The 16,772-nt window shown below is 36.8% G+C and overlaps 1 protein-coding gene and 1 pseudogene across 16 annotated transcripts in view; one reads left to right on the top strand and one right to left on the bottom strand.

Annotated features, from left to right (window-relative positions):
* The window catches only part of GALK2 (galactokinase 2), a 211,967-nt gene that overhangs the window by 156,598 nt on the left and 38,597 nt on the right, over positions 1-16,772 (bottom strand). For 14 of the 16 annotated variants that reach the window (NR_147895.2, NM_001001556.3, NM_001352048.2 and 11 more), the window contains exon 2: positions 9,893-9,981. Coding sequence is in view for 13 of the 16 variants with exons in the window: in NM_001001556.3 (NP_001001556.1) it covers positions 9,893-9,981 (89 nt within the window). In the remaining 3 variants the exon portion in view is untranslated. Of the gene's footprint in view, positions 1-9,892; positions 9,982-15,928; positions 16,059-16,772 lie in introns of those variants that run through there. The other 2 variants (NM_001289030.2, XM_047432348.1) reach the window with 1 other exon arrangement.
* RN7SL307P (RNA, 7SL, cytoplasmic 307, pseudogene) lies at positions 11,949-12,243 on the top strand (annotated as a pseudogene).

Raw genomic sequence — 16,772 nt, 5'->3', positions numbered from 1 at the left:
TGGCTGCTTCTAACAACCTATGCTCTTATGCATAAGCAAAGAAATGACCTGAAACTGGAATTTATATTTAAAAGGGAAGCAGAGTGAACAAGTTTGAAAAATTGAAGCCCAGCCATGTGGTAGAAATGAAAAGGCCGTGTGTGTGTGTGTGTGTGTGTGTGTGTGTGTGAGTGTGTGTGTGTGTGACAGCCAACATTGGGAAACCCCGTCTCTAGTAAAAATACAAAAATTAGCCAGGCATGGTGGCACATGCCTGTAATCCCAGCTACTCAGGACGCTGAAGCACAAGAATCACTTGAGTCCAGGAAGTGCAGGTTGCAGTGAGCCAAGATCGTGCCACTACACTCCAGCCTGGGCAACAGGGCGAGACTACATCTCGAAAGTTAAAAATAAAATAAAATAGACCAGGCACGGCGACTCACGCCTGTAATCCTAACACTCTGGGAGGCCGAGGCGGGTGGATCACCTGAGGTCAGGAGTTCGCGACCAGCCTGGCCTTCGTGGTGAAACCCTGTCTCTACTAAAAATACAAAAAATTAGCCAAGCATGGTGGTGGGTGCCTGTAATCCCAGCTACTTGGGAGGCTAAGGCAGGAAAATCACTTGAATCTGGGAGGCAGACATTGCAGTGAGCTGAGATCGCACCATTGCACTCCAGCTTGGGCAACAAGAGCAGAACTCCATCTCAAAAAAATAATAATAATAAAATAAAATAAAATAAAATAAATCAGCCACTAAAAAAAAAGGTAGAAATTTTGCATATAAACAACCTAATGGTACATCTCTAGCAAAAACAATCCAAATCCAAAATTAGTAGAAGGAAAGAAATAATAAAGATCAGAGCAGAAGTAAATTTGAGACAAAAATTAATGAAATGAAAAGGTAAACATAATAGCAAATCTTTAGCTAGACTGAGAAAAAGAGAACACACAAATAAATAAAATTAAAAAAAACAGAAAAGGAGACATTACAAGTGACACCACAAAATACAAAGGATCATTAAAGCCTATTGTGAACAACTATTATGCCAACAAATTGCAAAACCTAAAGGACATGCATAAGTTCCTGGACACATAAAACCTAAGAAGATTGAACCAGGTAGAAATAGAAAACCTGAACGCACCAATAACAAGTAACAAGATTGAAGCAACAGTAAAAAGTCTCCCAACGAAGAAATGCTCAGGACCAGAGGGCTTCACCCATGAATTCTACCAAACCTTTAAAGAAGAACTAACACCAATTCTTTTCAGACTTGCAAAAAAATTGAAAGGCGGGGAATTCTTTGAAACTATTCTATGAGGCCAGCATTATTCTGATACCAAAACTGAACAAGGACACAACAGAAAAAGAAAACTACAGGACAATATCTCAGTTGAACATATAATCAAAAATCCTCAATAAAATGTTGGCAAAATGAACCCAAGAGCCCATAAAAAGATTATATACCATGATCAAGTGGGATTAATCCTAGAAATGCAAGGAAGGGGTTCAACATACACAAATCCAAAAATACGATATATCACATCAACAGAATGAAGGACAAAACCCATATAATCTTTACAATCAATTCAGAAAAAGCATTTGATAAAATTCAACATTCTTTCATGATAAAAACTCTTAACATACTAGGTACAGAAGGAACATGTCTCAATACACAATAAAGGCCATATATGACAAACCCATAGCTAATGTCATACCAAATGAGGAAAAATGGAAAGCTTTTTGTCTAAGCACTAGAACAAGACAAGCATACCCAATTTCACCACTCTTATTCAAAATAGTACTGGAAGTCTGAGCCAGAGCAATCAGGCAAGAGAAAAATGTAAAGGGCATCCAAATTGGAAAGGAGGAAGTCAGATGGTCTCTACTTGTACACAACATGATCTTATACGTAGAAAAACCTAAAAACCATAAAAAGCTTTTAGAGCTGATAAATTCAGTAAAGTCGCAAGATACAAAATCAGTATTAAAAATAGCTAGTGTTTCATTCAATGTAAATGGCCCAAATGCTCCACTTAAAAGATAGAGAACCGCAAAAAGGATAAGGACTAACCAACCAACTATCTGCTGCCTTCAGGAGACTCACCTAATACATAAGGACTCACATAAACTTAAAGTAAAGGGGTAGAAAAAGGCATTTCATGCAAATGGACACCAAAGCGAGCAGAGGTAGCCATTCTTATATTAGACAAAACAAATTTCAAAGCAAGAGCAGTTAAAAGAGACAAAGAGGGATATTATACAATGGTAAAAAGGCTTTGTCCAACAGGAAAATATCACAATCCTAAAGATATATGCACCTAACACTAGAGCTCCCAAATTTATAAAACAATTACTAATAGACCTAAGAAATGAGATAGACAGCAACACAATAATAGTGGGGGACTTCAATACTCCACTGACAGCACTAGACAGGTCATCAAGACAGAAAGTCAACAAAGAAACAATGGATTGAACCTATACCTTGGAACAAATGGACTTAACACATATATACAGAGCATTTCATCCAACAACCACAGAAAACACATCCTTTTCAACAGGGCATGGAACTTTCTCCAAGATAGACCACGTGATGGGCCACAAAACAAGCCTTAATAAATTTAAGAAAATTGAAATTATATCAAGCACTCTCTCAAACTACAATGAAATAAAACTGGAAATCAACTATAAAAGGAACCTTCAAAACCATGCAAATACATGGAAATTAAATAACCTGCTCCTAAATGAGCATTGAGTCAAAAATGAGATCCAGATGGAAATTAAAAACTTCTTTGAACTGAATGACAATAATGACACAACCTATCAAAACCTCTGGGATACAGCTAAGGCAGTGCTAAGAGGAAAGTTCATAGCCCTAAACACCTACATCAAAAAGTCTGAAAGAGCACAAACAGACAATCTAAGGTCACACCTCAACAAACTAAAGAAACAAGAACAAACTAAACCCAAACACAGCAGAAGAAAGGAAATAACCAATATCAGAGCAGAACTAAGTGAAATTGAAACAAACAAACAAACAAAATACAAAAGGTAAATGAAACAAAAAGATGGGTCTTTGAAAAGATAAAATTGGGCCGGCGCAGTGACTCACGCCTGTAATCCCAGCACTTTGGGAGGCTGAGGCGGGTGGACCACCTGAGGTCAGGAGTTCAAGACCAGCCTGACCAACATGGTGAAATCTCGTCTCTACTAAAAGTACAAAAATTAGCTGGGCATGGTGGTGGGTGCCTGTAATCCTAGCTACTCAGGCTGAGGCAGGAGAAGCTTGAACCTGGGTGGTGGACATTGCAGTGAGCTGAGATCACACCACTGCACTCCAGCCTGGGTGACAAAAGCGAGACTCCGTCTCAAAAAAAGAAAAGAAAATTGATAGACCATTAGCAAGATTAACCCAAGAAAAGAAGAGAGAAAATCCAAATAACCTCACTAAGAAACAAAAGAGGAGATATTACAATTGATACCACTGAAATACAAAAGATCATTCAAGGCGACTATGAACACCTTTACATGAGTAAACTAGAAAACCTAGAATAGATGGATAAATTCCTGGAAAAATACAACCCTCCTAGCTTAAATCAGGAAGAATTAGATACCCTGAACAGACCAATCACAAGCAGTGAGATTTAAATGGTAATTTAAAAATTACCAACAAAAAAAAAGTACAGGACCAGACAGATTCACAGCAGAACTCTATCAGACATTCAAAGAAGAATTGAAACCAATCCTTTTCACAGTATTCCACAAGATAGAGAAAGAAGGAACCTTTCCGAATTCATTTTACGAATTCATTTTATGAAGCCAGCATCACCCTAATATCAAAACCAGGAAAGGACATAACCAAGAAAGAAAACTACAGTTCAATATCCTTGATGAACATAGATGCTAAAATCCTTAACAAAATCCCAGCTAACCAAATCCAACAATATATCAAAAAGTTAATCTACCATGATCAAGTGGGTTTCACACCAGGGATGCAGGGATGGTTTAACATAGGCAAGTCTATAAATGTGATACACCACATAAACAGAATAGAAAACAAAAATCACATGATCATCTCAATAGATGCAGAAAAAGCATTCGACAAAATCCAGCAAGCTTTATGATTAAGACTCTCAGCAAAATTGACATAAAAGGGACATACCTCAATGTAATAAAAGCCATCTATGACAGACCCACAGCCAACATAATATTGAATGAGGTAAAGTTGAAAGCATTCCCTCTGAGAACTGGGACAAGACTAAGATGCCCACTCTCACCACTCCTTTTCAACATGGTACTGGAGGTCCTAGCCAGAGCAATCAGACAAGAGAAAGAAATATAGGGCATTCAAATTGGTAAAGAGGAACTCAAATTGTCACTGTTTGCTGATGATACGATCGTTTACCTTGAAAACCCTATGGACTCCTTCAGAAAGCTCCTGGAACTGATAAAAGAATTCAGCAAAGTTTCCAGATACAAGATTAATGTACACAAATATAGCTCTTCTATATACCAACAGCGACCAGAGAATCAAATGAAGAACTCAACCCCTTTTACAATAGCTGCAAAAAATAAATAAATAAAAAATAAAATAAAATACTCAGGAATATACCTAACAAAGGAGTCAAAAGACCTCTACAAGGAAAACTACGAAACACTGCTGAAAGAAATCATAGACAACACAAACAAATGGAAACACATCCCATGCTCATGGATGGGTAGAATCAATATTGTGAAAATGACCATACTGCCAAAAGCAATCTACAAATTCAATGCAGTCCCCATCAAAATACCACCATCATTCTTCACAGACTTAGAAAAAACAATTATAAAATTCATATGGAACCATACATATGTAACTAACCTGCACATTGTGCACATGTACCCTAAAAAAAGTATAATAATAATAAATAAATAAATAAAAATTCATATGGAACCAAAAAAGAGCCTGCATAGCAAAAACAAGACTAAGCAAAAAGAAACAAATCTGGAGGCACCACACTACCTGATTTCAAACTATACCATTAGGCCATAGTCAACCAAAACAGCGTGGTACTAGTATAAAAATAGGCACGTAGACCAATGGAACAAAATAGAGAACGCACAAATAAACCCAAATACTTATAGCCAACTGATCTTCAACAAAGCAAACAAAATCAAAAAGTAGGGAAAGGACACCCTTTTCAACAAATTGTGCGGGGATAACTGGCTAGCCACATGTGGGAGAATGAAACTGGATCCCCATCTCTCACCTTACACAAAAATCAACTCAAAATGGATTAAGGACTTAAACCTAAGATATGAAACTAAAAAAATTCTAGCAGATAACATTGGATAAACCCTTCTAGACATTGGCTTAGGCAAGGATTTCATGACCAAGAACCCAAAAGCAAATGCAATAAAAGCAAAGATAAACAGCTGGGACCTAATTAAACTAAAGAGCTTTTGCATGGCAAAAGGAACAGTCAGCAGAGTAAAAAGACAACCTACAGAGTTGGAGAAAATCTTCACAGTCTATACATCTGACAAAGGACTAATGTCCAGAATCTACAATGAACTCAAACAAATCAGTAAGAAAAAAACAAACCATCCCATTCAAAGAGTGGGCTAAGGACACGAATAGACAATTCTCAAAGGAAGATATAGAAATGGCCAACAAACATATGGAAAAATGCTCAACATCACTAATGATCAGGGAAATGCAAATCAAAACCACAATGTGATACCACCTCACTCCTGCAAGAATGGCCATAATCTAAAAATCAAAAAAGAGTAGATGTTGGTGTGGATGTGGTGAACAGGGAACACTTCTACACTGCTGTTGGGAATGTAAAGTAGTACAGCTGCTATGGAAAACAGTGTGGAGATTCCTTAAAGAACTAAAAGTAGAACTACCATTTGATCCAGCAATCCCACTAATGGGTATCTACTCAGAGGAAAAGAAGTCATTATTTGAAAAAGATATGTGCACGCGCATGTTTATAGTGGCACAATTCACAATTGCCACTATATGTCATTGGTATTATGGAACCAACCCAATCGCGGAACCAACCCAAATGCCCATCAATCAACAAGTAGATAAAGAAACTGTGGTATATATACAATGGAATACTATGCAGCCATAAAAAGGAATGAATTAACAGTATTTGCAGTGACCTGGATGAGACTGGAGACTATTATTCTAAGTTAAATAACTCAGAAATGGAAAACCAAACATTGTATGTTCTCACTGATATGTGGGGGCTAAGCTATGAGGATGCAAAAGCATAAGAATTAGGTAATGGACATCGGGGACTTGTGAGGAAGAGTGGGAGGGGAGCGCGGGATAGAAGACTACAAATACAGTGCAGTGTATGCTGCTTGGGTGATGGGTACACCAAAATCTCACAAATCACCACTAAAAAATGTATTCATGTAACCAAATACCACCTGTACCCCAATAACTTATGGAAAAATAAGATTTTAAAATAATAAATAAAAGTACTTTGAAAAAATTTTTAAAATCACTAGTGTTTCTATACACCAATAACAGACTACCTGAAAAAGAAATCAAGCAAGCAATCCCATTTGAAATAGCTAAAAAAAATGAATATCTAGGAATAAATTTAACCAAGGTGATAAAAGACCTGTACAATGAAAACAATAAAACACTGATGAAAGAAATTGAAGAGGATACAAAAAAGTGGGAAGACATCCCACATTCTTGGACTGGAAGAATTAATATTGTTAAAATGACCATACTACTACAGATTCAATGCAATTCCTCGTATGATACCAATGACATTCTTCACAGAAATTAATTCTAAAATTTGTATGGAATCACAAAAGACCCCAAAAAACCAAAGCAATCCTGAGCCAAAAAAAAAAATAAAAGAAGAAGAAGAAGAAGAAAAGAAAAGCTGGAGGCATCACACTATCTGACTTCAAATATACTACAAAGCTACAGTAATACTATGGTTTTGGCGTAAAAACAGACATACAGACCAATAGAACAGAATAGAGAACCCAGAGCTAAATCCATGTATTTACAGCCAACTGATTTTCTTTTTTTTTTTTTTTTTGAGACAGAATCCTGCTGGAGTGCAGTAGTGGTTTGATCTCGGCTCACTGCAGCCTCCGCCTCCCAGATTCAAGAGATTCTCGTGCCTCAGCCCCCTGCGTAGCTGGGATTACAGGTGTGTGCCACCACACCCAGCTAATTTTTGTATTTTTAGCAGAGACGAGGTTTCATGATGTTGGCCAGGCTGCTTTCAAACTCCTGACCTCAAGTGATCCACCCTCCTCGGCTTCCTAAAGTGCTGGGATTGCAAGTGTGAGCCACCATGCCTGGCCAAGGCCAAATGATTTTCAACAAAGTTACTTTCATTCATAGGGAAAAGGACAATCTGTTTAATAAATGGTGATGGAAAAACTAGATATCCATATGCAAAAGAATAAAAATAGGCCCCAATATCTCACCATTTATAAAAATGAATTTAAAATGGATTAAAGACTTAAACATCAGAACTGAAACTATGAAACTACTAGAAGAAAACATAAAGGAAACACTTCAAGACATTGGTCTAGGCAAAGATTTTATGAATAAGACTATAAAAGCACAGGCAAAGAAACAAAAATAGACAAATGAAATTATATCAAACTAAAAAGCTTCTGCACAGCAAAGGAAACCTTCCAATAGAGTGAAGAGACAACCTGTTGAAAGGGATAAAATATTTGTAAACTATTCACCGAACAAGGAATTAATCTCCAGAATATATAAAAAACTTAACTCAACAGTAGTAAAACAAATATTCCAATTAAAAAATTGGCAAATGGTCTCGGTGTGGTGGCTCACACCTGTAATCCCAGCACTTTGGGAGGCCAAGGTGGGCAGATCATCTGAGGTCAGGAGTTCAAGACCATCCTGGCCAACATGGTGAAACCCCATCTCTACTAACAATACAAAAATTACCTGGGCATGGTGGCACGTGCCTGTAGTCCCAGCTACTCGGGAGGCCGAGGCAGGAGAATTGCTCGAACCCAGGAGGTGGAGGTTGCAGTGAGCCCAGATCGTGCCACTGCACTCCAGCCTGGGCAACAGAGAGAGACTCTGTCTCAAAATAAATAAATTAATAAAATAAAATAAAATAAAAATTGGCAAATGATCTAAATAGACATTTCTAAAAAGAAGACATACAAATGACTTACAATCATAGACAAATGCTCAACATCACTAATAATCAGGAAAATGCAAATCAAAACCACCAGGAGATATTATCTCACTTCAGTTAGGATGACTATTATCAAAAAGACAAAAAATAATAAGTGTTAGAGAGAATGCAGAGAAATAAGAATTCTTCTACACTGTTGGTGGGAAAGTAAATTAGTATAGCCATATGGAAAACAGTATGAAGGCTCCTCAAAAAACTAAAAATAGAACCACCATATGATCCAGCAATCCCATTACTAGGTATATATCCAAAGAAAAGGACATCAGTATGTCAAAGAGATATGTGGCTCTCTTGTTTATTGCAAAACTATTCACAATAGTCAAGATACAGAATCAACATAAATGTCCATTCACAGATGAATGGATTTTTAAAATGTGGTGTATGTGTGCAATGGAATACTATTCAGCCACCTAAAAGAGTGAAATCCTGTTATTCACAGCAACATGGATGAGCTTAGAGGACATTATGTTAAGTGAAATAAGTCAGGCACAGAAAGATACATACCTCATGTTCTCACTCATATATGGAGGCTAAAAGAGTTGATCTCATAAAAATAGAGGATAAATTAATGGTTACTAGAGGCTGGGAAGGATAACATGTAGTGAGGGCAGGAAGGGCAGGTAGGGAGAGGTCAGTTAACAGACACAAGAGGCCAGGTGTGGAGGCTCACGCCTGTAATCTCAGCACTTTGGGAGGCCAAGGCAGGTGGATCACCTGAGATTGGGAGTTCGAGACCAGCCTGACCAACATGGAGAAACCCTGTCTCTACTAAAAATACAAAAAATTAGCCAGGCATGGTGGCACATGCCTGTAATCCCAGCTACTCGGGAGGCTGAGGCAGGAGAATCACTTGAACCCGGGAGGCAGAGGTTGCAGTGAGCCGAGACTGCACCATTGCACACCAGCCTGGGCAATAAGAGCAAAACTCCATCTCAGAAAAAAAAGAGAATAACACAATAAGAAGGCCATCACCAGATGTGAGTACCATGATATTGAACTTCTCTGCCTCCAGAATCACAAGCCAAATAAACTTCTATTGTTGATAAATTACCCCATCTGTGGAATTCTGTTATACCAGCAGAAAATGGAAATAGATACATGGAAATATTTATGATATATTAAATGAAAAAAAGATACAAATGGTATGTAGTCTAAGTACAACTATGTCAATTATTATATATAGGGACATTGATAAAATGATAGTAAACAAAATGTTGAAAGGTTGTGTTATTTACCACTAAAAGGTAGTAAAATTCAAAGTACTTCACAGGATAAACAAAAGGAAAGATAAATTCATCTAGAAGGGCTGCAAATTCTGGACCACACTTTTAGTAGCAAGGAATTTTAAGGTTTCCCTGTGCTCCTCTAACCCAGTGAGTAAATATAAAACCATCAAAACTACTTACCACAGTCTAAAATTTTAACCTGTGGCCTAGAAAAATATTTTCATTTTTTATGAAAACAATATTAACAACTTGGTTTCAACAAATTAATACATTTAAAAAACAAATGAACAATACTAATAACATGGATTGGGAAAGATAAAAGTAAAGTGTGTTCCTTATGCAAAGGCACATCTTACTATTAGTAGATACATGTGAAATATTCTATTTTGGGAAAAATTAAGAAAGAAATATATTTTTAAAAATTTAGATCTTATCAAAGGATGAAGAAAAAAATTAAGAGAAGGAACTTTTGAAATACCTATTATGTTGACTCTTCCTGGTGCTCGAACATAAAACTTGGGAATAGATCCAAACTTGGAGTTAAACATCTCCTTTAGCTTCAGTAACCTGAAAATAAAAGTACAATATTTCAGAATATCATATAACAGAAAATCCGTAACATAACATACACACACATACATACACACACACACACACACACACACACACACACACTCCATATGCCTGCCACCATTAATTATTCCTTAAAAGAATAAAAGCAAAATTTCCTAGTGACATACTTCCTTGAAAATCCCAAGATGAACAATACTGTAATCTCTAAATGGCACAAAAGTATAGCTAAGCACACTGAAGAATTTAAAAGTTAAGATTGATATACCCAACAGAAAAAGCTATTTTCTTCCCTTTTGAAGAATGTAGTTTCTGTATACTTTTTTGGTGACATTCAGGGAAGAATCTCTTTACATTAAAAGTGTACCATGCGGTAGTATATTTGGTTTCCTAAGGCTGTCATAACGAAGAACTATAAACTGGATGGCTTAACACAACAGAGATTTATAATCACAATTCTGCAGCCAGAAGTCTAAAACCAGAGGTCAGTAGTACCTCTGAAAGCTGTAGAGGAGAATCATTTCTTCCCTGCCTCTTTCTACCTTCTGGTAGCAGCCGTCAATCCTTGGTGTTCTTTGGCTTACAGCTTTATTACTCTAATCTCTGCCGTGTCATCACATGGCATTCTGTCTGTTTTTCCTTCTTGTAAGGACACCAGTCATATTGGATTAAAGTCCATCCACTCTAATTGAGTACGACCTCATCTTAATTCATTACATTTGCAAAGATGCTAGTCCAAATAAGGTCATATTCTGCAGTTTCAAGTAGATATGAATTTGGGGGGTTATACTGTCTAACTCAGAACATGTAGTCAAATGAAAACTAGACTGGGTATCAGGAAACCACAGTTCTAATTCTAATGAGACCTCTAATTCAATGTCAAAGTTCGGCAAATCATTTTCTCTTGGCCTCTCTTCCCTAAAATTTGAGAATTTGAACTAGATATTCCTCATAGGTCCCTTCCAGATCCAAAATTCTTGTAATATATTTAATAACTTGATACTCTCAAATTATCTCAAGTCAATTCTGTGAATAGCCCTCATTATTTGTAGTCCCACATCATATTGTATCTGGGTAATAACACCAGGATGATAAACATTTATTAAAGCCTAATATATTCAGGAAATTAATTAATTAAGAAACAGAGACCCACACCCAAAAAACCTCAAGAAAATGTAATAAAATAATAGAAAAATATGTTGAATATTGTTGGAAGTTATTCAAGCTCGTCTCTTGGGAATTGAATAGTCATCAGAAACTGTTTATACCAGTTTCTTTGGCTCTCTTCCTGCCTCATTCTCTTGTTGCTCCAAAGACACCATTATAAACTTCTCTCTGCTGAGTACTCTGCATTCCACCTACTTCTGTGAACCTCTTAGTTTCTGCTCCTCCATACCTTCAGTTTTCATGACACTGTGGCCTTGACTCTACAAGACTTAACAGCTCCAGCATCCTATACTAACTGATTACGTTTCTGTGTCCTTTCGTTCAAATTCTCAAAAGATATAATCAGCTTGGCAGAGTTTAGGTCCTGTATCCATACAGGAAAGATAAATTCATCTGTGGCCAAAGGGTGAGGTCATTTAGTAAAAATAAGGTCACTTGTTTTAGTTACAAATATGGTCACTTGTGTTTACTCCTTCAGCAGAGGCTGTGGATGAGAACAAAAGATTGCAGCAGGGAGACAATAACTGATATCGCTAGCATATCACTCAAAATACATCTACTGGACTACCTGGTAGATGCGGCTGCCTAAATCTTTCTCTATACATCCTCAAAAAACAAAACAAGAACAAATAAAAGTATACAAAAACTTTGTCTTCAGTATAACTAGAAGACGAAATGCCAAACTTTAAGTTATCTATAATAGGGGGAAAAAAGAAGAAGGGAGAAAAGAAGACCATAGTGAACTACAAAACATTAGTGAACTACAAAACATAGTGAAACAAAAATTAAGCAAAAAAGCCGGACGCCCTGGGTGTGCCTGTAGTTCCAGCTACTCTGGAGGCTAAGGCAGAAGGATCGCTTGAGCCTAGAAGTTCTGGGCTGTGGTGCGCTACGCTGTCCAGGTGTCTGCACTAAGTTGGGCTTCAATAAGGTGACCTGTGGGGGCCAAGGGATTATCACGTTGCCTAAGGAGAAGTAAACCAACCTAGGAGGGAAATGGAGCAGGTCAAAACTGCCGCACTGATCAACGGCAAGATCCTGCCTGCGAGTAGCCACTGCACTCTAGCCTGGGCAACATGAGACCTTGTCTTTGGAAAAAAAGGAAAGAATGAAAGAGGAAGGAAGGAAGGGAGGGAGGGAGGGAGGGAGGGAGAGGGGAGGGGAAGAGGGGGAGGAAGGGAAAATTGAGTAAAATAAAGAGAAAAGAAGGGAGCCACCAAAACTAAGATTAATCTAAAACTACTACTAGAAAGAAAAAGTCCACCTATTAAAAAAAGGTGAAGTGTAGGAAAGAAAAAGAGGAAAGTAGAATAAGCTCATTGATTACTAAATAGGCAAGAGGTAAAAGTTAAAAGATACCAAAAAAACTGACAAAGCAATGATTTTTTTTAAGTTATAGTACAGGCATATACAAGGATATTATTAAACAAACAAACAAAAACAAAGAACAGGGCCTGTGCAGTCAGGTAGACCTGGGCTTAAAACTGTTCTCTACACATGATGAAATTCATTAATCTCATTCTCCTTTAAATAGGATAGAAACATGTATCCCATAGATTTGTTGGGAAGATTAATAAGGTCATTTGGAACAGTGTCCAGCCCAGCACTGGCATGAAGTATGTGTTTAATAAATGGTAGTTATGATTGTATCTTAGTTCCTGGGTTCAATATCATTTCCAGTCTGTGCAGGTGAATAAGAATACATCACAAGCTGGGATTACAGGCCCAGGTGGAGGTTGCAGTGAGCAGAGGCCGCGCCATTGCACTCCAGCCTGGGCAACAAGAGCAAAACTCCATCTCAACAACAACAACAAAAAAGAATACATCACAAGCAATGAGAGATGGTAGGTAATTAAGTGTTTAGCTTGTGTCAGGATAGTTAGTAATGTTAGTGCACTGGGTAATTTTAATGATGCTGTTGATAAATCTTGCTGCTCTCTGCCCAGCTTCTTCTATTTTATAGAGAAGTTTGTTGAAACAACTGAGGTTATTTGTCTGGATTTGAGATAGAATGACATAAAATATTAGTGCTTTTCAACAGCCACCACTGGGAAAAAAAAACTGACAAAGCAGATAGTAGAAGTTAAATAAGAAAATATTCCCCTATTTTCTAAGGGTGTTTTAAAATATAAGTACAAAGGTAACCAATAAAACAAAAATATAAATCTTCTTAAATACCACAGAAATTTCAAAACTAAAGGAGAAAAGAAAAATATCTGGTAGATAAAGAAAAACATAAAATGTACCATAGTATATAATTACAGGTTGAGCATTCCTAATTCAAAATTTCAAAATCCAAATCATTCCAAAATTTGAAGCTTTTTAAGCACAGACATGACGTTATAAGTGGAAAATTCCACATTTAAGTATTTAACACAAACTTTCATAAATAAAATTATTTAAAATATTGTATAAAACTACCTTCATGCTATGTGAATAAAGCGTATATGAAACAAATAAATTTCATGTTTAGATTTGGGTGCTATCCCCAAGATATCTCATTATGTATCTTTAAATATTCCAAAATCCAATAAATCTGAAATCTGAAAAACTTCTAGTCTCAAACATTTTGGATAAGGGATACTCAACCTGTATAAAATAATATGACAGAACTGAAATCAAACATATTAGTCACATTAATAAATGTGAATGAGCCTCAACTATTAAAACATAAAGATGTGCAATTTTGCTCCTAAAATAGGACTGAATGTATTATGCTGAATACTAGACACATAACTAAAACAAGGTGATTCCGAAAGACTAAATATCAAGAAATGGGCAAAGGTATTATAGGCAAATGAAAACAATAAGAAAACAAGTAGTAATCCTGATCAAAATTGTAGAATTTAAGCTTACACATTAAATGTGCATAGAAGGATACCTTTCTTTAGAGAGTGAGAGACAGGGACTCGCTCTGTTGCCCAGGCTAAAGTTCAATGGGCAGTGGCATGATCACGGCTCGCTGCAGCCTAGAACTCCTGGGCTCAGGCAATCCTGTGGTCTCAGCCTCAGCAGAACTACAGAGGCATGCTGCCATGCCTAGCTAAAATATTTTTTAATTTTTTGTAGAGGCATAGTCTCACTATGTTGCCCAGGCTGGTCTCAAACTTCTGGCTTCAAGTGATCCTCCTGCCTCAGCCTACCAGAAGGATATTTCTTAATGCTGAGAGCCACAAATCAAAATGAAGACATGGCAGTTAAGAAATATCCCAAATGAAACAGTAATTACTTGTATAAGGCAAAACTATAAGGCAATGTAAGGAAATAAAGGTAGAAATACATTAATAATAAGAGATTATAAGACACCTTAGTAGATCAATGAGTCCAAAAACACAGAGAAAAGACTCAATAAACTTGATAAAGTAAATTTTATGGATGTATACATATATCAAACATTTTACCCTGATAATAGGCAATAAAACTTCTCAAGAGTACATGGAACATTCACAAATACTGATCATATATTTGGTTACAATGAAACATTAGTAAATTCCATAAAGTAGAAATAATACAAACAACACTCAATGCAATAGAACTAGAAATTATTAACAAGAAAAATAACAAAAAGGTCTTCCTACCTGCAAATTTCTTAAGTGTCTTTTAAACAACTCTTGGGTGAAAGGGGAAATGAAGTGAAAGATAGAATCTAAAAATAATGATAACATTAAAAGCTCTACTCATAAAAAATATATGGGATACATTTAAAGCAGTCAGAAAACTCCATAGCTCTAAACACTTTAGCAGTAAAAATGAAAAATGATAATAGGAAACTAAATTCTCAGCTCCATAAGCTAGAAAATAAACAAAAAGAATGACACAAAAAAGATAAGAACAGAAAGTAATGATATGGGGAGTAGAAAAACAGCAGACCTAAAAATTCAAAGCCTGCGGTTTTAGGAAAAAAGTTAACAAAATAAGCCATTAGCTAATGAATTAATAATATGGGGGATAAAGCACAAATGTACAAAATAAAAAAATAACAAAGGGAAAATACTACTAAACAGAAGACTTTTTTTTAAATAAGAAATGACTTTGCAGACCTCTATCCAAATATATCAGAAACTATAATAGTCTGATTCCATTTTTGATGTTTGACTACTGCCAGCTTTTAGACCTTAACTCTCCCTCTTTCCCCTTTCTACCTAACATTAAGCAAAGGGATAAAAAAAAAAAGCCCCTCTCTTTTGCCACCAGCCAAACCACATGTAGAAATCCTCTCCCTGGCTCTACCCTCTAACCATCATAAAAACCCCAAGTCAGTCTCCTTTCCCTGCTCTTTCAAACCAGTTTTGGACCAGCTTAGGCAACCTGCCATGCTCCCCCAGAAAGCCTTATAATGTCAGTAATAAATTTCTGGAAAACCACAGAGAAGTAATGATAAAACCAACTTGAATAATAAAAGAATTCACTAAGGTAACAGGATGTAAGATTAATATACAGAAATCAGTAGACTTCATATGCGAAAACAAAAACCAATTAGAGACTAGAATGGTAAAGAAAATATAATTAATGTTAGCACCAAAAAACACTAAATGCTTACAAACAAACTTAATAAACGTGCAAAATCTATTTAAGAAAAGTTTTTAAACATTCTTGAAAGACAAATAGACTTAAAGAAACGGGCTGGGCACTGTGGCTCATGCCTGTAATCCCAGCACTTTGGGAGGCCGAGGCGGGTGGATCATGAGGTCAGGAGTTCCAGACCAGCCTTGCCAACATAGTGAAACACCATCTCTACTAAAAATACAAAAAATTAGCCCAGCATGGTGGCACGCACCTGTAATCCCAGCTACTCCGGAGGCGGAGGCAGGAGAATCACTTCAACCCAGGAGGCGGAGGTTGCAGTGAGCCAAGATCGTGCCACTTGCACTCTAGCCTCCAGCACAGGTGACAGAGCGAGACTCCATCTCAAATAAAATAAAAAAATAAGAAATGAAAAGATATCCCTGTTTTGGATAAGATGATACAACATCATAAAGATGTAGTTCTCCCAAAGTTAATTTACAAATTCAACTAAATCTCCCAAAAAATACCAATAAGCTTTTCTTATGGAGATAGACAAGTTAGCTAAAAAGACCTTACGAAAAACAAATATGTAGCCAGGCACGGTGGCTTATGCCTGTAATCCAAGCATTTTGGGAAGCCAAGGCAGGCGGATCACCTGAGGGAGGAAGTTCAAGACCAGCCTGACCGACATGGAGAAACCCTGTATCTAGTATAAATACAAAATTAGCTGGGCATGGTGGCACGTGCTTGTAATCCTAGCTACTCGGGAGGCTGAGGCAGGAGAATCACTTAAACTTGGGAAGCAGAGGTTGCGGTGAGCCAAGATTGCACCATTGCACTCCAGCCCAGGCAATAACAGTGAAACTCCATCTCAAAAAAAAAAAAAGAAAAGAAAAACAAATATGTAACAATAGTGGGCAAAACACTAAAAAAAGAAAAAACAAAAACAAAAAAACCCTGTTTTGAGAGAGGAGTAACCTTACCAAACATTAAAACATACTATATGGCCTCCGTAATGAAAACAGTGAGATATCAGTGCATAAATAGACTAGCAGACTTCAGTGGAATAATATCATGTCCAGAAACAGATTCAAATAGAAATTTAATATATGATG

The sequence above is a fragment of the Homo sapiens genome, chromosome 15, assembly GCF_000001405.40.
Source record: "Homo sapiens chromosome 15, GRCh38.p14 Primary Assembly".
NCBI classification, from domain to species: Eukaryota; Metazoa; Chordata; class Mammalia; order Primates; family Hominidae; genus Homo; species Homo sapiens.
This window is presented reverse-complemented; position numbering and strand designations above follow the sequence as displayed.